This window comes from Homo sapiens, chromosome 10 (genome assembly GCF_000001405.40).
Source record: "Homo sapiens chromosome 10, GRCh38.p14 Primary Assembly".
Taxonomy (NCBI): Eukaryota; Metazoa; Chordata; class Mammalia; order Primates; family Hominidae; genus Homo; species Homo sapiens.
The window spans coordinates 131,102,664-131,125,982 of NC_000010.11; the positions used below are offsets into that span (position 1 = coordinate 131,102,664).

General features: G+C 51.5%; 1 protein-coding gene across 2 annotated transcripts in view, besides 3 other annotated features; it reads right to left on the reverse strand.

Moving 5' to 3' along the window:
* TCERG1L (transcription elongation regulator 1 like) overlaps positions 1–23,319 on the reverse strand; it is a 219,331-nt gene that overhangs the window by 10,273 nt on the left and 185,739 nt on the right. For both annotated transcript variants that reach the window (NM_174937.4, XM_047424966.1), the window contains 2 exons: positions 14,136–14,271; positions 1,602–1,691 (listed from right to left, as the gene is read on the reverse strand). In NM_174937.4, coding sequence (NP_777597.2) covers positions 1,602–1,691; positions 14,136–14,271 — 226 coding nt within the window. The remainder of the gene's footprint in view (positions 1–1,601; positions 1,692–14,135; positions 14,272–23,319) is intronic.
* Positions 9,307–9,807: an enhancer, noted in NCBI's record as "H3K4me1 hESC enhancer chr10:132910233-132910733 (GRCh37/hg19 assembly coordinates)". NCBI's record gives its function as "activates a minimal SCP1, AML or CMV promoter by ChIP-STARR-seq in primed H9 embryonic stem cells {active_cell/tissue: H9 hESC(primed)}" and the evidence as "EXISTENCE:reporter gene assay evidence [ECO:0000049][PMID:30033119]".
* Positions 11,889–12,600: an enhancer, noted in NCBI's record as "H3K27ac-H3K4me1 hESC enhancer chr10:132912815-132913526 (GRCh37/hg19 assembly coordinates)". NCBI's record gives its function as "activates a minimal SCP1, AML or CMV promoter by ChIP-STARR-seq in primed H9 embryonic stem cells {active_cell/tissue: H9 hESC(primed)}" and the evidence as "EXISTENCE:reporter gene assay evidence [ECO:0000049][PMID:30033119]".
* Positions 12,601–13,310: an enhancer, noted in NCBI's record as "H3K27ac-H3K4me1 hESC enhancer chr10:132913527-132914236 (GRCh37/hg19 assembly coordinates)". NCBI's record gives its function as "activates a minimal SCP1, AML or CMV promoter by ChIP-STARR-seq in primed H9 embryonic stem cells {active_cell/tissue: H9 hESC(primed)}" and the evidence as "EXISTENCE:reporter gene assay evidence [ECO:0000049][PMID:30033119]".

Genomic DNA, 23,319 nt, shown 5'->3' on the forward strand with positions numbered 1-23,319 from the left:
GCTCCCCTTCCACGTGCATCATTTCTGAACTCAAAGGGCAAAGAGAGGGCAAGACGTGACCGCACACATGGAGTCTAACTGGGGCAGGGAAGTCCGGACCTTCCAGAGTCTATCTCAGGGCCCTTCTCAGACGTGATCCACGGGCCACACAAACCCAGGCTGTGCTCGCTGATGCCGTCAGACCATCGGTCCCTCTCCCAGCAACAACAGGCCCCTCCTGTGAGCCAACACCATCTGTCCCTCGTCTGTTTGATATGGAAAGCAGTGTTGGCTCAGGGACCTACTTTGTGAAAAGCTAGGGCAGAGCCCTGGCAAGTCTCTCCTTAAAATAGTCCCCGGAGAACCCCCTCTAATCAATTCCGTGTTTTCTGGGTGGCGTTTTGTAGAACTCCACCCTTCACTGTGCTGCTAGTGTTCTCTGGACCACTCCTATTTCATCACTATTATTGTCAACCTGAAGAACAAGCAGAAAGAGGCTCTCTGAAATGAAATGGATGCTTATTTGGGAAGAGAGCATTGCAATGGGAATACACATGCCATCGTAAATGACAAGAATATTCAGGGAGGTAAAAAAAAGGCAATAATTTTTAAGGAAAAATAAATGAGAGGATTAAATCATTGTTTTGACATAATTATCTTTGGCTACAGAGATCCATAACAGGACGAAGCCAGTCTGAGGAGGGACAGGCAGTTGTTGGGCAGGTGTCCTTGCAGAAGTGCTTTTTGTGTGTATAAGGTTGTGATGAGCCAGGTGCGGTGGCTCACGCCTGTAATCCCAACACTTTGGGAGCCCAAGGTGGAAGGATTGCTTGAGCCTAGGAGTTCAAGATGAGCCTGGGGAATATACAGCAACCACATCTCTACAAAAAGTACAAAAATTAGCCAGGCGTGGTGGCTGGAGCCTGTAGTCTCAGCTGCTCAGGAGGCTGAGGTGGGAGGATGGCTTGATCCCAGAAGGTGGAGGTTGCAGTGAGCCAAGATTGCACCACTGTACTCCAGCCTGGGCAACAGAGTCAGATCCTGTCTAAAATAAAATGAAATAAAATAAAATAAAAGGTTTTGACGGCCTTGTGTGCAAGACTGTGGTTCTTGTAGAGTCTTTTTAGTTATCAGGTATACAAGTATGAGAACCCTCTCTTCATGGCCTTCCTCCATTCTATTTGTTAGGGGTTTCTTAACATTAGTGACTTCATTTTGATTCTGACAACTTTCATATTATATAAGATTTTAAGCATATAAAACCTTAAGGTCTTATGTAAGACCACCTCTTTCACTATCTTTATATAATACCTTAAGTATTTCATATTTTTAACATACGATTTATAGTCATTTGGAATGAGGGTCAATGTTCCTAAAATTTACATGTTCATCTTTAAAAGTATTTGTCTTCCAGGGTCATAACCAAATACTGAGGTAAGAATAATGACCAGAATAACCTTCCTCAGTCCCTCTAACTCTTTTGTTCACAAGCTCGCAAGCCACTGGCCAAATTTACAACATGGGTGTCTGTTATTGAGCAATGAAAAGCTCCCCAGATCCAGGATGCAACAGTCGCTTTCATGCCATGTCTCTGCAGTCAAAGTGCCTTCCCACCCAGTTACCTGCTTTCGTTCCTCAGAGTTGAGCAGGAGATAGCGTGGGTCAAACACGATTTTGTGTAATTCTTTCTCCCAGGTAGAAAATGCTGATACCTAAAGAAAGATATTCAATAGAGTTGCTGTTAGCGTCTAATGCTAAGCCTGAAGCCGCCCTGAAATGATCCACAGTTAAAAACAAATGAACAACAAAAACCAGCATTAAAGTACAATAGATTCCGTGATGTGGTGCAGTATAAGTGTTAGACATGTCAGATGCTCCAAGAAAACCAATACTAGAACATCAGAAAATTTAATTTCTAGACTCATGACTATTTCTTTCTTGGGTATCTTTCAGGGGTGTGTCCCCCGATCTGAAACCCCAATTATACCTGTGGAGGCGTGGCATTCTGGAACAACCCATTTCAAAAGGGGAAATTATATTGGTAAAAATTTTCAGAACCCCCACAGACCATAACAAAGAGTAATGTCTTGAAAACAGGCTGAGTTTAGGTGATTTGTAATCAAAGTTTAACCTCTTTTAGGTAGGTCATTTTAAAAATAAATTATTTTGTTTGCAATAGTTTTAGACGTACTAAAAATTTGCAAGAATATTACAGAAAGTTACCATATACTCATACCCAGTTTCTCACGTCGTTAACATATTAGTAGGCTAGATTCGTCACCACTAACCATGACGCATTATTACTAACAATAGTCTGCATTTATTCAGATTTCTTTAGGTTTTACCCAATTTTCCATTTCTGCCAAGGACCTCATCACATTTCGCTGCCATATCTCCTTGGACTCCTCTTGGCTGTGACAGGGTCTCAGATGGCCCTTGCCGTTGATGACCTTGATGGTTTGAGGAGCCCTGGTCAGGTGCATTGCAGGACACTCCTCAGTTGGGATTTGTCTGAGGTTTTCCTCGTAAATAGCCTGGGGTTATGGGTTTGGGGAGGAAGACCACACAGGTAAATGCCATTCTCATCATGTCATAACAAGGGTACACACACTGCTGACATGACTCTTCACTGACAGTGGTGGCCGTGGTCGGCTGGCTGAGGTCTCCCCACTGTGAAGTCCCCCTCTCCATGCTGTCCTCTCTGGAAGGACATCGCCATACACAGCCCACACTTAGGGGTACAGGTTGTGCTCCACTTCCGAGGAGAAGTAGCTACATGAGTGACTGGGAAATGTCCTGGGGGGGATACTCCTCCAGGCCTCCACATTACTTATGTACTCAATCTTTTATTTATATTGCTACAGACTCATGGATATTTAGCCCATGCTCAGGCTGGACTCCAGTCATGAGTGACTGGGAAATGTTCTGGAGGCAGGAGGTGATGGAATACTCGTTCATGCCTCCATGTTACTTATGTACTCATCCTTGTATTTATATTGCTATGGACTCATGGATATTTAGCCCATGCTAGGGCTGGACTCCAGTCATGAGTGACTGGGAAATGTTCCGGAGGGGGGTGGGAATACTCGTTCATGCCTCCACATTACTTATGTACTCAATCTTTTATTTATATTGCTACGGACTCATGGATACTCAGCCCATGCTTGGGCTGGACTCCAGTGTGACTTTGCTTCTTTTCCTGCTCAGCTTCTTTGAGGTTGGCCTTGGCGAGCTCCCGTGGTGGGTTCCCGGCTCCTGTGTGCCTCTGACAGGTGCTCATCACTTGGCTTTTTGGGCATCTCCTTAATTTCTGCTACTAAAGATGCTCCAGGCTTATCTTCTGCATGTCCCACCTTTGCCCTTGAATCAGTCAATTCTCCAAGAAGCCCTGGCTCCTTTCCTAGAACGGTGTTAGAAACCAAGATCCAGGCACTGGTGTGTTCATTGCTAGTGAGGTGTTGTTGCTTCTAGACTCTCTCAGCTGACAAAGCAAGGGAATGTTTAAGCCATTTAGAACATAAATGCATTCATTTAAAAACATGGACTATGTATTCACTGTGCCTTGGGCCCCAAGCTGGGTGTTGAGGATCTTGAGAAAATAAATCAAGGAAGCCCATGGTCTAAGGTAGTGCCGGTCTAGGAGCTAACAGACTCTTGAGATGGCACTAGGGCCATGGCGGAGACAGACCTGGACACTAGTGGGACCCAGCAAAGACCCACAGCAGCCTAGGGAGGCGGCTTCCAGAGTGCTGTGACTTTGGAACATGAATACTCCTCAGGGTTCACAAAGGAGCCTTGGGGGGTATTCCAGGACCAGCTGGTGGTGGGGACAAAGGCTGGGTCATGAACTATGGGGAATGCAGGAATTGCAAGAGGTTGAACATGCCTGGGGGTGCAAGAGCCAATGAAGGTGCAGGGAAGTGGCAGCAGAGACAGAGGCTGAAGTGTAGGGCAGTCTGAGATGTGGTTAGGAGACTGAGCATTGTCTTGAGAGACAGGAGAGAAGAAAATTCAGATGGGGCGTACGTTTGAGGAAGGCCACCCTGGGATCCGGGCAGATGAATACCTGGGCAGGGTCAGGGAGGGGAAGGTAATTGAAAGTTTACAAAAACAAAACCCCATTCACATTCTTAAAATATTCTTCATAGAGGTACTATTTCAATAAACACATGCTTTATTTGTATATTATAAGAGATGAATTTTCTTCACTGGCAATTTCTATCTTTAACTGTCAAATTTAAGCCTTTTCTGTAATACCCACGAGCTCTTTTATTGGGTGGGATGACCCAGGGTCCAGCTAGGATTCTCCTCCACAGAGTGAGAACCCGGTGAAGCATAGCTGGGTCTCAGGGCAAGGTGGCAACTCTGGGAGGGTCTCCAGACAGAATGGATCCCTTTAGCTTCGACTGAGTGCCATTGCTGGGACTCAGGGCGAGGTGGCAACTCTGGGAGGGTCTCCAAGCAGAATGGATCCCTTTAGCTTTGACTAGTGCACCTGCCCCCGGGAGCATCTGGGGCCGTTAGAGAAGCTATGGGCAGCCACCACTCAGCCCAATAAGATGGCACACACCCACCTCACGGGGACCTGTGCATAGCCCGATGGTCCCAGCTCTGCAGGGAGAGAGGATTAGACCCTATGTGGCATAACGACACCAGTTTCTGGAAAATGTTGGAGTTCTAGAAGTATAATAAAATAATTTTTCAATGAATGATGTGTAGTTTTTGCCCCCGAAGGGATTTATAATCTCTATAGAAGGTCAGATAAGCCATCTCTACAATGATTACAACTCATAATGATAAAACCAACTGTGTCATGTCAGGGACAGTTCAGGGAAGGGTGAGAGCACAGTGGCTGGGACCCGGGATGGAGGTGGGGGCTGAAGTGAAGGCCGCACAGCCATGTGTGAAACAGGGTCTTTCCCTGCCCTCCAGGTGGGCGCAGGACTTCTCCCAAAGGGTCCTGACAGGTATGGGGACGAGGAGTCCTATGAACTGCTCCTGAGGGAAGCCTGTTGTTCCCGAGCCTGCGTGAAACACTTACGATGCCCAGAGAGTACATTCCATGGGGCCACGATTGCACACATGTGTGTGACTATACACACACACATAAGCACACACACCACACATACAAACATCCACAGAGGTGCATATACACATGCAGGTGCACACACATGCAAACACATGAACACACCCAGGACACGCTAAGATATACATACGCAGGCACACATGTACACATGCACATGTACATAGTTGCACAAATGCACACATACGCACAAAGATGCACACATTGATACACACATGCACATGTGTGCCTACACACACACACACACACACACACACACACACAGAGTACCACTACCACCACCAAGGAAGTCCAACATTGTAGAACAACCAGGGGAAGAAAGCCCGTCAACTGAGTAGACAGCAAGCTGCCTATCTCTTTTAAGTCCGTCTATGTCGTGGGACTGTTCTCTAAGTGGCCGTGGACAAAACCGGCTCTCCCTGTTTCTGGCTGGTACCTGTCCAGAATGACTGGAATGCACTGGGAATGCAACAGACTGAGAACAGCCAGGCTTTGTTTGGGCCCCACCCCAGAAATAAGACATCCTTCAAGCTTTAGCCCAGCGTTTCACAGGACCCCAGGGTAGAAAACCACTGTGGGCTGCTTTCTGGGATTCCTCGGTTACAGCGAAGGGTAGATGAGACTCCGTCCCCTCCTTGCAGCTTTCCTGGTCCTGGGGGACTGGTTCACAAGGCACCCTCATCTTCTACCACCCTTGCTTCCTGTCTGTGGGGAATAAACGCACTTCAGATGATTTGCTGCTCATCTTCTACCACCCTTGCTTCCTGTCTGTGGGGAATAAACCCACTTCAGATGATTTGCTGTGTGCGTGGGTGTTCTGTCTCAGCAGCCTCACACAGGCGGCTGACCAGTGCCCAGTGAATCTCCTTCACATCTTAGTTTCTATCGCTGCATAAGCAACGACTTCAAACTCAGCGGGTCACAAGCACCACCTCGGATCACTCCCTGGGCTGTGTGGGTCCTGAGTCCAGCATGGGGGCATTGGGCTCCTCAGCCCAGATCCCACTGGGCTGAGATGAGGTGCCGGCAGGGGCTTTGCTCGCGTCTGGTGCTTGGGGTCCTCTTCCAAGCTCACTGGATGTTGCGAGAATTCAGGTCTTGTGGTTGCAGGGCTGAAGTTTTCCATGTCTTCAGCCAGCTAAGAGCCAATCTTGGCTCCGAGCGGCTGCCTGCAGGTCCTTGCCCCAGGGCCCCCACAGTGGGGCAGCTTCTTCAAGCCAGTGAGAGAATCTCCCCCTGGCTAAGGCAGAGTCTTAGACAACACAGTGCAACATCGCCACGGGTGTGACATGGGCCCCGTCCACGCTCAAGGAGAGGACCACCCAGGATGAGCACAGTGTTGTGGGGTGGGGGGGGTGGAGGGTGGTGCTTAGAACCCCATCTGCCCAGCACGTCCCCGAGACCAGGACACGCTGTTCCTCTCTCAGCAGAGATCTCTCTCTCTCCTCTTGCCTAACACTTCTTTGATTCTTTGGCATTTTATTTGTGACTTGATCCTTAAAGACCTGAATTCTTCTGTAAACTTCAGACCCTTTCCTGCAGAAGTTTGTGATCCACCCCCTTCCTCACCCCGCTGTACATCGTCACATCACGCCCTGACGAACAGTGACAGTGATCCTGGTGCCCGTCTCAGCACGCCTGTTGTCTGTCCCCCTGTGGATGACGTGGCCGTGTCTGTGACCGTGGCTGGGTCTGTGACCGTGACCATGTCTGTGACTGTGGCTGTGTCTGTGACTGTGGCTGTGTCTGTGTCTGTGTCTGTGTCTGTGGCTGTGTCTGTGAACGCTGGAGCCGCCTCAGTGGGAGAACAACAGGGTCTTGTTCTGTCCCCCCGGCTGGAGTGAGAGTGTTTGACTCTGTCCGAGGACCGTGTTGCGGGTCCCTCACTGCACATTCTCATCTGATCGCTGTTTCAGGACTGTCCCTCCGCCCTGTCTGAATCACGAGAGTGGGAACTGGAGGTCACCTGGGCTGGGCTGGAGTTGTGCCCTTTCTTCCACTCTCAGCCTCCTGCAGCGGGACTCTCCTCTCTCCCTGGGCACGCCGGCTGGAGCTCCTCTGTTCCCTCATTAGTGTCTGGGTTGCAATAGATTCCCTCCCATTTCCACAGTGGAAGAAGCCAGAGCTGGTTGTTAGAAACGCAGGCGCCAGAAGGAGCTGCAGAGGAGGCGGTGTGGATGCAGGCCAGGGCGGCAGTTTCCAAACTCGGCAGATGCCTCATCAAAATGGACATCGCCCAAGCATCACTCTGCAGATAGTGGCCGGCTGGCAGCAGGTGTCCTTGACTGCAGGTCGCGTGTGGCACCGTCCCAGCCCGCAGGCATCTCGCTGGAGAGTGGACAGGCACCGGGAGTCTGAGGTTCAGGAAGGGAAACTGCACCTTCTTCACAGCCAAGGGAACTGGACTGTCCCTTTCACAGCGGTTTTCAACATCCTCTCAGTGACAAGGACGTGGTCTGGAGAACCCAAAAGTGTTTTCCAGATCAAGTGGCAAGATGCAGACCACGCGGGCAAAGCATTTGGTCATGGTCATCTGGTTCTGAGACAGACACAACTGTCTCCTAACCACCCTCCTCCCTGCCGTGTCACCTCCCTCAACTCACACCCTCTAAAACTTCTCCTCCTTGAGGCCTCAGGTGAGTCCACAATTCAGCTGAGTGCTTGTGGCCCTGGTGGTCTCACCCCGGCTCCCTCCCAGCATTAAGGGGGCAGCTTCTCTGGCCAGCTGAGCTGTGAGTGGCTCCCAGGAGCCCCAGGTTTACCCTGAGCACCCACAGCAGCTTGAGCAGACTCTCAGCAGGGAAGAGACCCCAAAGCACGGCCCGAGCCCAGCACTGTCCACGCCTCCTGCTGTGGATGGGCCAGGGTGAGCTCCTGCCTGAAATGGGGCACCTCAGCCCCGGGAAGGCAGCCAAGACCTTGGGCATGAAGAAAAAGGTCACCATTTATAAAACAACGCCAGGGAAAACTAGATCTAACTTCAGTCCCGGCTTCACCAAAAGCCTCTCTGGAGACTGAGAAACTCATCGTGCATTGTTCCAGTGGACGCGTCAGCCCTGAGAAAAGGGGGTTCAATTCAAGTAAAGTGGCTGAGAGCTCGAGGATGGCTCAGCCACATGTGGGACGCCAAAGTCCTGGAGGTGCCCCATGCGTGTGATGGCTCCCGGAGGTTATCACGGACAGGACACGACTGGATTGGCAGGGAACCTCCGACAGAAGCAGAACGCTGCCTTCCATCTCTAAAACCAAAAAAAGGCTCTTTCAAGTAATTTTCAATCCCTGGATCATGGAAAAGGCCAGCGATCCTGATGACCAGAGAAAAGGGCGAAAGCTAGCAAAAGGATGGCACCTGCCGAGTCCTGAACTGGAGGATAAAGCCCCAGCCTTGAGAGGGCCTCAGATCAGGGGCGCAGTCCACGGCCTCTCCAAGGAAAGCTGGAGCCATGCCCGCTCCGACCCTGACACTGGGGCTGGGCTCAGCCGGGCACACTCACGTGCATCTGCAGAAACGTGTGTCTGTCTGTCTGCACCGTCCGCCCCCACCCACCCTCATGGCTCCCTGCTGTGGTCCTCAGGGTGTCCCAGGGACAGCAGCTGCAGTCTCTGCCCCTCAAGGAAAGCTGGGTCATACAGGGCCCCCAAACATGGCGAACTTCCATCTCAAACACAAACCTGGTTACTTTTGCGAAAGTCCTGGAAGCTAATGTTTTGACCAAATTTGACTGTTAAACAAAATGTATTTATTTACTTTTACTTCCTTGTACCTTAAAATGGCCATAATAGACCGGGAGCATGAAGTGTTAATCGAATTAGAGGTGATTTTTCCTTCTGGCTTTTATGAGTGCAAACGTCCTAAGGAAGGAAGCAATCTGTCACAATTACCCTCTCTCAATGACCCTGCAGCTGGACCTTTGAAATACGGTCACGATTTCCTCGCACAGCCTGACCTTCCCCTCGTCCACGCCCCGTGGGCAGAGGACAGGCTGCGATTAGTTATCTTGGGGCCTGCGTGGAATTCACTCATGTAAATAATGAATAAAGCTCCTAGGTAACACTATATTTTTTCATGTTGTGTTGAAAACACAAGAAGACAGATAGACAAGCCAGACTGCTCCAAGGTGTTGAGGGCGGCCTGCCCTTGCAGCTGCCAAATAAGACACCGGCAGCCGAAAGGCATCTCCAGGTCCCTTGGTCCCTAGTCATGGGCCCTGCCCCCCAGCCTCTCTTCTCAGCGCAGGCTGCAGGCTGCTTGACCAGTGTCAGGACCCTCCCTCCCTTCCTGCCATCTTCCTCTCTCCTGTTTCTTTCTGCCTCCCCTGGTCTCAGGAAAATTGACCAAAGGCCTCCGCTGGGGCTGTAGAAGTTCAAGACCCCTGAGAGTGGGGGAATGGGCCCGGCCACACGGCACTCCCAGTGGCCACATGAAGAGGGTTCAAAAATCTCCCTGGGGCCTGAGCCCAGGGTCTCTGCTTCCAGGGCCGGGGGCTGAAGACTTGGGCCACGCCCCTGTCCCCGAGCTCTGTCCAGATGTGCCCGCTCTATTTCTCCAGCTCTGACTCCCACACTGTCCTGGAGATGCCTGTCTGGATCTGCAGCCCACCCGGCCCCTCCTGGGCCCAGATGCCCCAACCTACCCCCAGCGGGCTCCTTCCCAGGACTTTCTCCCCCTGTCCCCCAGGCCCCCACTGTGCCTCCCACAAGCCCTAATGATGATGCCAGCTGCATGTGGACAGCCTTCATTTTTGAGAAACTGCCTGGCTATTCTTCCCTTTCAACCTGCCCCACTCTGCGGCCCTCTTCTCCTGGCCTCTGGACTTTGCCTGCTCGCAGGGATGGGGAACACTCCTGGAGCCTGTGGCTGTGGCTGCTCCAGAGTCCCCGACCGTCAAAAACGCGGCAGCCCAGGGTGGAATGACCGGGCTTCCACCTCATCCTTGAAGATGAGGCCATTGCCTTACGCTCAGATCCCTAAAGAAACAGTATGGCAATGGCCCGGCTGCAGGCATTTGTTTGGAAGGTGATTCCAGGCAGTCCTGGGAACGGACACACGGAAGGAGACGAGCTAGTAATGGAGGGTGGGCCGTGGGGTGAGGAAGGTGCCCAAATTTGCCGAGCGGTAACCTTACCAAGGACTGGGAAGCAGGGTTTTCACCTACTGACCCCCGTCCCTCCTCGGTTGAGGGTCGCCCTTGGGGTGTTCAATCCCTAGCGTTTAGAGGTGGGAGTGGCCAGCACAGGCAGAGTTCCCGTGAGTCCAGGTGGCCCCGGGTGGACCCGGGTAACTGTGGGTGAGCGTGGATGGGAGGCTGGGCCTGCAGGCAAGGCCTCCTTCTGCATCCCTGCGTTACCCTACCTCGCGGCACATCAATGCCTACCCCCATCTTCAGTGCTCAGAGTATTTTACCAGCTTTTTGTTTTCATTTTTGGTGAATAAATGCAATTTTACACGGTTATCCCACAATATAGCCAGCTGATTTCACTTACTTTTGAGGGTTACTTTCACATTAAGCGTAATTATAATCCCATTCCAGAAATTAGAGCGGGCAGTGCCAACTCCCCAAAGGCACCTTCAAGGATGCTGTCCGCACAGGCACCTCCCCTTCCCTGGTGGCCAGCCTAGCCCTTTCTGTGCACGCGTGCCCTGGCTGAAGGCTGGTGAAGCTCCTGGGAGGCAGAGTTGCCTGTGTCTGAGGGGAGGGAAGGGCACCAGATGTTACTCATCCGGGGAGACGGACAGGGCAAGGCTGCCCTTCCTTCTGCCTGGGACTGTAGAGGCCTCTGTCTGGTTTGTACCCACTCACCCCACAGCCTCGCTGTCAACACCCATCTTAGCACAAGGAGAAATCGTCACAGCGAAGCCTGCAGGAACCCTGCTCTGTGAATCCCTCACTCCATTGCAGACGTGGTACCAGGGCTCTCCTGTGTAGCCCACCACAGTGCCAGCCAGGGTCCCCGAGGCTGGGCATTGCTGGGAAGCTGGCCCAGGATCACCTGCAAAGGGACCCCTGAAAAGGACCAGGACAGCCCCTGAGTCCCTAAGTCAAAATAGAGTATTCTCAAAAGGACTTTCTCTCCTGGCCCCTGGGTGAGCATCACCTGCTTGTGAGAGATACTTTACAGAAGGAAAATGTTCTCAATAAAATGTCTCTAATGTGTTTACCTAAGCAGCAGGATTAAATTAATAACCTGCTGTTCAATTAAACTTGCTCCTGATGGACTAAAGTTTTAAAAGAAAGCTTCTTTGGGATTTGTACTAGCAAGGAAAAACACAATAAAACAAAACGAAAAACAAACCTTCTGCTGAACCATCATTTACATGCCACAAAACCACAAAACCTTCATCCCGCTGCCCCAGGGCACAATCCCCGTGGCAGGGCCCAAACTCTGCCCTTTTTAAACTACTAAAAACCGCAGGGTCCGTCCTTCATCACTCCACAAGTACATGAATTTCTGAACGGAAGTATTGAACAAATGCAATAACAAATCTTATTAATCACTCAGTCCATGAAAAAGTGACCTTTCTATACCTCATTGTTAAGCAGCTAGAAACCTTATGGGTTTAGCTATCAAATTCTCCTCAGCCTGAGCAAATCTGCCAGCATATTTTACAAAGCTGAAAAGTCATAAATGGTGGCATTGCTTTATAATATTAGCAGTAAATTTGGATTGATCTTTTCTACTCATGAGGTCTGTGTATGTGGGCCTCTCCTGAAAATCCTCATAAGACACGGGACTAGGCTTCACCCTAGTCCCTTTCTCTCGGGGTAAACACACAACCTGGTGGTTACCGCTTCACGTTCAGATGATTTTGCTGATTCCTGTATAATAACCTGGGAAGAAAAAGTTGAAACGAACCACCCACCCTAAACGGGGTAAAAAGGCCCTGAAAATCTCATTAGTAAAATCTCTCAACCAAGGCCATTTAGAGAAATTCAAGAGGCCATGTAAACTGAGTCTGATAGCATCCCTGCCCGGGAAGGGAAGGCCGGCCTCTCAAGCAGGTAGGTTAGTTTAAAACTGTGTTGGTAAATTGGGCCTGGCTCATTTCCAAAACAAAGAGATGAAAAACTTGGACGTTAGTAAGATAAAAGGAATGTTTATTCCTCTTTCCCAAATGTTCACGATGCCATCATGTTTCAGCAAACACGAGTCATGTCTCCTGCCCGATAATCCAACCAGGCCAGCCTGGCCAGGCCTATTCAGAAACTCAGAATTACGGCCATTTCCACAAGGGCCGTGCAGTCCGAGGGACACAGCAGTAAGGACCGGGAAACTGCCTGCACGTGCACCTGTGGGTCACAAAACGGCCTCTCCTGCCTCTCGCCCAATGACACCCCTGAACCTGACCCTGCTCCCAGGCAGGGCTCTCCTAGAAGGTGGCTATTTTGGTAAGACACTGCCGCCAGGGCATGTGCCGATATAGGCAAGTTTCCTGTGAGAGGGCCGCCTAGTCACTGGCTGGACACTTGGACATCAGGCCATCCACCAGGATAAAGAAGAGTCCGTGAAGGCACACGGTGATCACCCGGCAGCACCTCCCCTGGAGCCCCTCGGGGCAGGGCTAGAGCTTTTCACCACTCTGCAGAGACCAAGTTGGGAGAAACTACAACAAAGACCCTCATGCCAAGAGCAGGAGGAGGGCAGGAAGCCCCAGGGGCAGAAGAGGGAGGGACTAAAGTCTTGTTTTCAAACAAAATTTGAGCCTAGTAAAAATAGCTTTTAAAATAACATTTTTTGAAAAACAAACCAACACCCAGGCGTCCACATCGCGCCAGGGCCGGATCCACACGCGCGCGTCCACGTCGCGCTCTGTGCCTCTCAGCACGTGTGTTAATTCAGGCCTGACACGGGGTATTGCAGTCACCAGCTCACACCCCCACTTTTCCTTCTGGTTCCCTGAGGCCCAGGGCTGTGTTTCGCCTTTGAGTAAATGATGAAATACATAAACAGGTGCACACATTCAAATTCAAGGGGCTTTGGAGGGGAGGTGTCCCTAGGGGTGGGTGGGACCAGCTCCTTCCTCCATAAAATTCCTAAGGGGTAGGACCTGCTCAATGTTCTCTGTTCCCCCAAGGCTTAACCCAGACCCAGGACAGCACCTCAGCCCTAACTAACCCTGTGAGGGTTCTGCTCAGACCTCTCTGTTCTGCAGGGAGCTGGGTCCCCATGGCAGCTCCACCCCTGCCCCCTCTCCAGGACCCTGGGAGTTACCAGCTGTGGGAGGGAGAGGAAGCAGCCTGAGGGGTGGGTGCTGGCTGCAGAGGAAACCTGCTCTGAAGTCTGAAAGGCCATTTGCGTGTTCATTATAAACATCCTCACACGTGGGGCCCACCACTGCCGCCTGCAGTCAGCCTTATTTTGTAAGGAAATCCAACTGGGCTGAAATACTGCCTCTGGCTCATTTTATACCCAAAGCCAAAGCAGGAAATGATAGTCATTGAAAGGAGATCTGAATACAAAATCCCCCCGACCCCCAAGTCAAAGTGAGATTTGGAAATCAGCTACACTGAAGATATCTTAATTTTATTTAAAAAACAGTCACGTTCATCTGAAGGGAGGGAGTACCACTAGGTAGGATGGATAGATAACCCCATGGGGAAGCTAAACAGTGAGGTCGGGCACCGCGACTGGCCCAGCTCCCACAGGAACCCCATCTGTGCAGTGGGTGCTCCCTCAGGCCACCCAGGACCCGGCCTCCCGGTGGACCCCACCTGCCGGCCTCTCAGGCCTCACGCCCACAGGAGAAACCACAAAGGCACCTTTCTCCTTTCAGAGGAGAAGCAGGACCTCCTCTCCACTTTGGCTGCCCCTCGGCCTCCACTCACTTAGCACCTGCCTCTCACTCAGCACAATCAGGAACTTAGTAAGGGGGAGGCATCCCTCAGGCCCTGGGATGGCGACTCAGCCTGAACAGGAACTCAGTAAGGAGGACACATCATCTCTCAGGCCAGGACAGTCACTCAGCCTGATCATGAACTCAGTGAGGAGGCGACCCTCAGGCAGGGACGGCCACTCAGCTGCTGTTCCCCCGGGTCTGCCGTAGGAGTGCAGCCCCTCAGCCGCTGTGCCTTACCCCTCTCTCCAGCAGCATGTCTCGGAAGTGGGTCACACGCTCCTCCAGAGGCAGGAGGATCTGCGGGGGCGGCGTCCTTGTGCCTTTGTCCTCTCTCTTTGCCTCCTCTGGCTTGGGACTCCCGCAGCCTTCGGTCCTTCAGGAACACAAGACGCAGAGTTAGACACACTCGTGGGGACCCAGCTGGTTTTTATTGCAACCTTTACAAACCCTCCTCAAGGTAACTCTTTCAGAAGCACAGTCTCCTTGACAACTCTTTATAAAGCCTGAGGCGGTCTCCCTCGCAAAGATGGCACATTTGCTCTTGGCAGGCACGGGGCTTGGCTGTGTTCAGGGTGGGAGGCTGGAATTGAAGCCCCAGCCCCGGGCCCGGCTGTGAGAAGCTGCAGCTCAAGTGCAGGTGGAAACATACACTGGCTGCCAACCGGCATGTCTCCTGGGCAGGCCCTCACTCCAGGTCCTCATACTGCCCACGGCCCACGGCAGGGAAGCCAGGCCTCAGGTGCTGCTGCAGAGATGGGGTCATGGAGGGGTAAGGAGCAGGCTTTTCATCCGAACAATCATTTCACTCACTCATCGCCCCTTCATTCTGGACAAATGCCTGGAAGATAGTTATGTGCAGAACCATCTATGTCCTGAGATCTAACCCCAAAGGGAAACTTCAGTGACAAAGAAGGAGGCTGGGACCCCTCCTCAGGCACAGAGGACAGTGGAGAATGGGATCACCCAGGGGCCCTGGAGAAGTTCCCTCCCACAGCAGAGGGGCGGCCCCTGCCAAGGCCCCGGACACTGTGGGCAGCAGCAGGAGCTGCACAAGGTGGAACCAAGGGTGGGGAGGAAGGGAGGGACCCCACGAGCTGACCATGCCGGGCTGGGCAGCTCACCAGCACTCCCTTCCGAACCACACGGGCAGGGAGGCTGGACCCTACTCCTACGGAAGAAATGCTAGAGGCCTGCCTTTTTCAAGTACCAACTCTCCCCCTTGCATTATTTTAACTGCACGTGGATAGATCTTTATGGTTCTACACTGGATTCTAAGAAGCATCTAGAAATATCCTTTTGAAAAAACGAAATGTTTGCTGCTGGAAGAATGTGTCTGGCCAAATGCAGACGCCGTTCTTCTTGTGTCTGGCTTCCCCTCCTCCCAACCCTGGCCCTGCCTGGGGGCAGGTCCGTCGGCTGCCACCCGCCCCTCAGGATGCAGCCTGTTCTCCAGGACGGGCAGACTCAACCCGCGCTGGGTTGGCGCACCCTCACTCTGACCATGCTGAGCCCTCGTGGGCCTGCTCCCTGGCCTGGCCCTGCTCCCACACCTGCCCACGGCATCAGACCACCCATTTGAGAGCTCCCTTATTTTCAGCTGCACTTAGGTCAACCTCAGCCAGCAATCATGAAGAGCAGTCCGCTCACAAGCAGTGGCTTAGGGCCTCCTACATTCTGGGAGCTCCCTAAGTGCTCGGAGATGTAGGAATGGCATGTACATCTAAAGGCATGGGCCTTACCCGCTCCTTTCAAAACCAGCTCACCCTGGGATCTGGATTGTGAGTTTCTCGAACCGTAGTCTGGGCTTTCTGATTTGGTCTAGAGGTAAGAGTCTCTCCTGGGCCACAGTCTCCCCAAGCTCCACTGAACTTCTCAGTAGGCCTAGGATTCTGAACTTCATGCTCACCTTTGCATTGCCCAATGTGAGCAACGGTCCTGCTAAACTGATTAGCCATAGTCTTCCCTACCCTTCCCTTAATCTGCTCACCGGGACACCTTACCAGATTTCTCATCCTCTGCCATGCCCCAGATCTGACTCAGCAAGAATCTGCTGAGGTTGGTTCAGCCAAAACCCCCCGATCCCTGAGGTCTGCTCTTGGTAATTTTCCATCCACTGACCCCCAACCCTGACCGTGGCTATCAAATCCTGCTTTTCCATGCCAAATTTGGAATTGAGCCTGGTCTCTTTTCCTCCTTTGCAACAGTCTTGAATATAATCTGTTTTTACGGCTTTAACTACTGTCCAGTTCTGGTTTTGACGATAGCACCATGTTCTCCACTGGGGATGATTTTGCCCCAGGGGACATTTGGTAAGGTCTGGAAACATTTGTGGCTGCCACAACTGGGGAGATGTTACCAGCACCTGGGAGTGGAGAGCCGGGATGCTGTGAAATGTCCTGCAATGCACAGGACAGCCCCCACCACGCAGGCTCATGTGGCCCAAGTGGGTCTCCCCCAGGAGGTTTGGATGCTAGGTAAAGATTACACTACTTCCTCATTTGGAGAGGAGGTAAGGTGGCAAACAGGAAAAGGTCATCTAGTGGCCAGACCCGGCCGTCCAGGCCTCCCAACACCTGCCAAGTGAGAAGTGTTTCCTCACTTGGCAGGTCTGTCCAAGGTCCTGGGAAATTCATTAGTACCATGTTTAGGATGTACTGAGAATATGCAATGCCTTATGTCTAACAAGAGGTTTTCATTCACAGGGGCTGTAATATGGATTAATCCCAACGAATACAAAATGTGCAAAGAAACAAAAAGATTGCTCAGCCCATTAGAGAACTGTATTTATAGACCCACTATTCCAGGAGAATTTACATTCTCTGCTTCTTATGTGATTACATGGAATTTTGAGAAAAGAATATTACCAGTGGATTTCCAATTGTATCATATTCCAAAGGGTATAATTAGGATTTCCCTGTAATAAATTTTCATTAGTTAAAAATAGAAATGTGAAACAAGGCCTGTATTGTTGCAACTTGAAATAAGAACAGGCGCATTCTGACTGCGCGATGATGGTGTGTTGGAGCTTATTCAGCACAATACTCTGTGCAGGGCTGCCGCACGCCTTCCAAATGGCTATCCGTTCAGTTAGAATCGGTCAAAAGCAAATGCAAACTAGCTAAATATATTTTTGATATTCTTATGGCTGAATGAGTTCTGTACCTTTAACAAAAAGTAAATTCTAATACTTTTAGTAAAGATAGCTCAACCCACGGTTTTCCTGCTGGTAGAGGCAGCGTCCCCGAGGACACACTAATTGGTGTGCACCAGCCCTGCAGGCTGCGAGCCAGGGAGGTAGCCTTACTGCATCACAGAAGCCTCGTTAAGGGAACCCATGGATTTGGGAAGTTTCCCAGGTCCAATGTATAGGTTGAAAGGGGCCTGGTCTTGGCCAACCTTTAACCAGGCTAGGTGCTCCTGAAATCTGGGCACCATAGCCCTGGGCGGGGGTCCCTCACGCCCAGGGTCCGCCCCTCCCTGCCTTCTTCCCTTCTGTGTGGTGACCATCCTACCCCTAAGCAGGGGTGCTCTCTTCTCCCGGTTCTGTCCCTTCCCCCAGCCTCTGAGCTTGCCAATCGATCTGTTAATGATTCGTGTGTGTGTGTGTGTGAGCTTGTGTGTGTGCGCATGCGTGCATCTGTCCCATGCTGGTAAGTCTGTAAAGCTGAGGTTTTCTGATTTTGCCCATGTGCAGAGGGCAGCACATTATCCGGTAAAATGCACAAATCCAAGACCCAGTGGAGCTGAGTTCTGGGCACTGCAACCCCCGCCATGATTTTCCCTTTGTGAACAAGACACTTTAATGATCCATCTGAGGCTGGGGAACTCAGGCCCTGGGCTGTGCACACCTGCTGTGGGCACAGAGCTCACCTCTAAACCCTCAGAGGCACTTCTCTCCACCCAGATCCTTTCTGCAGAACCATCCTGAGGTCAGAACCATTGCCCTGGCAGAGAAATGACAAACACCAAGTAGTTGTTGGCTCCAGGCTAGAGGAATGGGATGTGTGATATTCAGTTTCCCCAGCCAGGCTGAGGCACCCACCCATTCCCTCATAGGCTGACACCCAGGTGCCTCATCACAGCACTACCCAGATGGATGGAGGCTCAGACAGCCCAGCTGGATGGATCAAGATCCAAACCTCTATGTGGGCAAATGCACTGATGCCTTCAGCCCCAGCATGCTCCCCTGAGGTGGTCCTAGCACTCACCTAGAGCTGTCACGTGGATTCAGTGAGATGGTCCACATCGACCTCTCGGAGCGACCCCTCCTGCTCCTTCACTCCTTCCCTCCCTCTCCAGCTTGCAGGTGCGGTGTGTCCACCCATACTGGGCACAGCGGGGCTGTAGCTGGAACAAGGAGCTCCTCACTGCCCAAGGAGCTTACAGTCCAGTGGGACATGTATAAAACAGTTACACACATGCGAAGCCTCAGCTGCCACAGGTGTGTCAGGGCTGAAATCCACAGTGCAGAGACTGTCAGTGCCAGAGGGGCTTCTGGTTGGTGTTCCCGCTAACACAATCATTTGAGAGACTCTGCAGAAACAGCAGACATTCTAGTGGACCATGGCTCCAAGACAGAACATGAGCAGGGAAGAGACATAGACGCTGACACAGGTTGAGATGGCGTCACTCTGCCAGGGTGCTGCCATGTGATGTGGGGAAAGTGCTGACATGTGACTGAGGACCTGATTCTGGAGAGGCCTGTCTGCAGATGTGATGAGGTCAAGGTGTTTCTGAGCCTTACAGGTGAGGATGACTTGCTGTACAACCTTGGCCAAAATATGGAAACTCTCTGGACCTTACTCATGGTAAGATACATGCTTCCGACCAGATGATCTGAAAATGCCTCGCAATACCGCAATTCTATGATGCAAATGTGATCCTGTTAATTTCATCCTGATGAAATATTTAAACATCTTGACTCTGCCATCAACTTATTAGCTCTGCCTCCCAACTTTGCAGTTCCTATAAATTTGATGAACAGGCCTCCTGTGTCTTCATCCAGCTTGTTCATAAAAATGTTCCACAGGAAGCGCCACACAGATGCCTCTAGCAGCTCTCCCAGCTGCAGCCCTGCAGACGGACGGCTCCACACACCCGTGCTCATAATGGGCTGTGAGGCCTGGGCGTGGGCACAGAGACAGAGATGCCCCCTCGGCCCTGGCCTGCCTCCCGTATAGTCTTGTCTCAGTCTGCAGGTGCCAGGTCGCCCAGCTGCAGCCCTGCAGACGGACAGTGCCACACACCCATGCTGGTGATGAGCTGTGAGGCCCAGGTGTGGGCACAGTGAGAGAGATGCCCCCTCAGCCCTGGCCTGCCTCTCGTATAGTCTTGTCTCAGCCTGCAGGTACCACACCACCATCAGGGGTCCCCGCTGACAGACAGTCTGTGGAGGGTTCCAGAGGCTGTGCCAGCCCTCACTCCAGTTTTGTTTTATCATAAATGATGTCTCTTGCAGCCTCACTTCTAACAAGTGACCGCACCGTGCCACACACTGCCAGCCTCCCCAAGGGCGCTTTGGCAGAATGGTTTGCTGGGAAGAGTGGATTCGGAACCTAAAATGTTAGGCCTATGATATAATAAATAATTAATCTGGTCTTTACTCCCAGTTCTTGGCAGAGAGCTCCAAAAGATTCTTGGAACGTCCTAAGCACTAGAAATGACCTTTGGTATTCATAAGGAAACCTCTCCACCATACCACACCTCAGCTGCACTAATGAGGCCACTCACTGGGTTCTTAGTTTCAAGGAAGGGGCTGGCGTGTCAGGAAACACCAGCCCTGAAGATTAGAGAGTTGGAATGTCCAGGCCCACCCACCACCTGACATCCAGGATGAGGAGAGGGGTTGGAGATTGAATTCAATCTTCCTGCCAATGATCAATAAATTAATCAATCATTTCTCTGTAATAAAACCCCAATAAAACCCTTGAACAGTGAGGCTCAGGATTGCGCTGGTTGGTGAACACATTAGCATACTGGCAGCAAGACAAATGCAGACGGACAGAGGCTCCTGCCCTTGGGACCTTTCCCAGTCTCACCCCATGAGTCTCTTCCATTTGGCTGCTCCTGCGTTGTCACCTCGATCATAAAACTGTAATCGTAAGCATATCACTTTCTGTGAGTTCTCTGAGTCATTCTAGCAAATTATCAAACTTGAAGGAGGGTGGTGAGAGCTCCATAATTTGTAACCAAGTCAGACAGATGTGAGGGTAGACTGGGGACCCACTTGCAGCTGGTGTCTGAGGTAGGGGTGGCCTTCTTGGGGCTGAGCCCTTCCCCTGTGGGGTCTGCAGTATCTCTGGGTGGTTGGTGTCAGAATTAGACTTAATTGTAGGACACCCAGTTGGTGTCAGAGAATTGCTGTCAGAACTTGGGTGCAATCAAATTTGCTTCAATTGCATTCAGCAGGCATTTCCAAGGGGTCCTCCCAACTGTGGCAACCTGCCTCGTTTCTCTGAGCCTCCTAGGTCGTTCATCTATTATAGAACCCACCGGCCCCACACAGCTGTCATGAGACTGAACAGCACTGCTCACCTGCAGGGTCCTGCTGAGGGCTGCATGGGGCCCCTTGGTTAGCACGCGGCTGCTGATGTCTGCAGCGGGCCCTGCTCCAAACCCCAGGATCCCAGGCCCCTGCCCTCACCAGGCTCACATTCTAGAGGCAGGGACAGAGAGTAACAATAACCAATACCACCAAGTAAGTAAATTGGGTGGTGTAATCAAAGATGCTGGATGCTCAGGAAGTCACAAAAAGCAAACAAATGAATGCAGCTGAGGGGAGGGTCTGAGACCATCACAAGGCAGGCAGGACACCCACAAGCAGATCCTGAGAAGAGGTGAGGAGCCCTGGGGGTATCTGGGAGAACATTCCAGACTCAGGGCTCAGCTATACAAAGGCCCTAAGGTAGGAGCATCTAAGAATGTTCTAGAGACAGTGGCAAGGAGGCAGTGAGGGGAGGGTGTGGGGGGCAGTGCTCAGAGGTCTGCGAGGATGCAGATCCTGATGTCTCCTCATCCATGGCAGGGCTGTGACCTTTCACTCCCAGGGACATGGGAGCCCAGAGCCTCTGAGCAGAGTGACGCATCCTGGCCTCCGACTGCCCTGAGTCCTGACTTAGCGCTCGCTTCTCTGCTTGCCCGGCCAGGGGCCGCTCTGAGCCTTGGAGTGCAGAGACAACTCTGGTAGCACCCGGGGAGCCAGGGTGAGAGCAGGTTCCTGCCCAGAGCTGCCTCTGGAGTGCACGGTTATTCCCATTAGGACCCCACGGAGCCGAGACCCTGCCCCTGTCTTCTCAAATGCATTTTAGAAATGTTGTCCTGGACATCCAAGACTGCCCCGTGACGATTTCCTTGGTGGATTTTTGAACATCATGTGTTGTTCCAGGTAGGGCATGAGTGGGTGGAGGCCACCTGGAGGAAAAGATGCCTGACCAGGTAAAGCCATGACATCAGGCTGTCCCCGCAGCAGAGGCTCCTGTAGAGTGGGGGACACTTTTCTGTCAATCACTGTGGCGTAGACCAAGGTGCTCCTTTCCTTGCCTTGCTGATGCTACAAGATGATGCACATCTGCACACACTGCCTGGCCCTTTGGTCAGGGTTGGACCATCCCAGAGATCTCTGGCCTCTGACAGGTCTCCAAGGCTGTAATTACAGGACCCGCTGCCAGGCTCCTGAGCTGCGGGAGGCCCACCTAAGACCCACTAGCATCCTATGCAGCCGAGCTCCAGATTCTACTTTCCAAAAGAACAAGGTTCCAGGGTCTCTAGCCTTCCTCTCATACCATTAGGGAGTCCCCGTCCCCAAGGCTGGCCCCACCCCAGCCTTTGTCTTGGCACCGCAGACCTTGCCCTTCGGAGCGATGCTTCTGGAATTTGTCCAGCATGGAATTATTGCCACATTTCTGTGAGTCTTCTGAATGAGTGGCCACTGAGTTCTACTCTCATTGAACAAAATTGTCAGAAAAATTTATAAAACAAGGTGACTTTTTGCAAGTGTGCTACGGTTTTGATATTTTCAGCTCTACGCCATGCAGGAGCGGAGAGCAAGACTTTGAGACCCAAGCAAGGCTGGACCCCGGCTGGCTTGGCTCATCATCGCTGCCTGTCCGTGGATGTGCACTGCACTGGCCTCTACAAGCTCCACCTTCTTTATCCCCCAAATGACAACAACAACAACAACAGGATCTGCATCGCAGGGGTGACCTGAGGAGGGAACGCTGGGCGCTAATAAAATGCGTGGTCTCTGAGCTCGGAACCTGGGCTTTCCCACTGTGTGCTCTGTGTTCTCGAGCAAGTCTCTTCATTTCATCAACCCTCCATTTCTTCCTCTAGAAAGTGGAAATAATAATAGTTGCAACCACTTGGGATTTGCTTGTAAGAATTAAATGAAATAAGAAGAATCCCTTATAGCCACTGATGGCTCACTGTGTCAAACCTTCTCCTCATTTCATCACCAGCACAACCCCACTGTCCAGGTGGAAAAACTGACTTAATGCATTTAAGGTATTTAACACAATGGCTGGTCTAGAAATAGTTTTGATGACAATGATGGTGATGGTGATGACACAGTGATGATGGTGAGGAAGATGGTGGTGGTGGTGATGATGATGATGATATAGTGACAATGGCCATGATGATGGTGATGAACATGATGATGATGGTGGTGGTGATGATTCTTCACCTTCATCATCTCAGGCAGCTTCTGAGCATCCACATCAGTTCTCTCCAGGCTGGGTTCCAGCCCTCTGTTCATCTGGATGACATCTCATTATTATTATTTTTTGTTTTACAGATGGGAAGAAACTGTTCTTTCTTCCAGCAAAGAGGGCTGGGAATTTATCATCAAAATACTGCCAGACTGTAAATCTGGTGTTAGACACAATGTGAAATTCTGCAGGAATCAAAGTTTCTGTGAATCTTTTGCCTTATGGGGCCTCAGACATTCTAATGTGTGGTTGTGACAAATGGTCTTCAGATGAGACAAACTTTGAAAGATCTGTATTCTCTAGTTTTTTAGCCTTGACACTGTGCAGTGCAGAAACGTGCCTCTGGCAGCTATAAGGAAGATTGGCACATCCATCAGGGTGGGCTGCAGGCCCCTGGGTGAGATGGGAGCACAGGGGTGTCGGTTCCGCCAGCTCTGCTCTGCTCACGTGGATGGTCAGGATTCACAGCCAATGATGGCATCGAGATGGATGCCTCCCCAGGATGGATCATGGCCACCAGCAAAACCCTGGCTGTGGGGCTTGGTGCTGGCCCTGAGTAGGAACCCTGCAGGCAGCTAGGTGAACTCAGCAGGAGCAGCTGTTCCTCTGCTCTTACACAGAGATGACACTGCCCAGTGCACAGAGATGCAGAGATGACACTGGCCAGTGCACACAGATGGGGCTCTAGGATGGGCAGAGATGCAAAATCCTCCTGG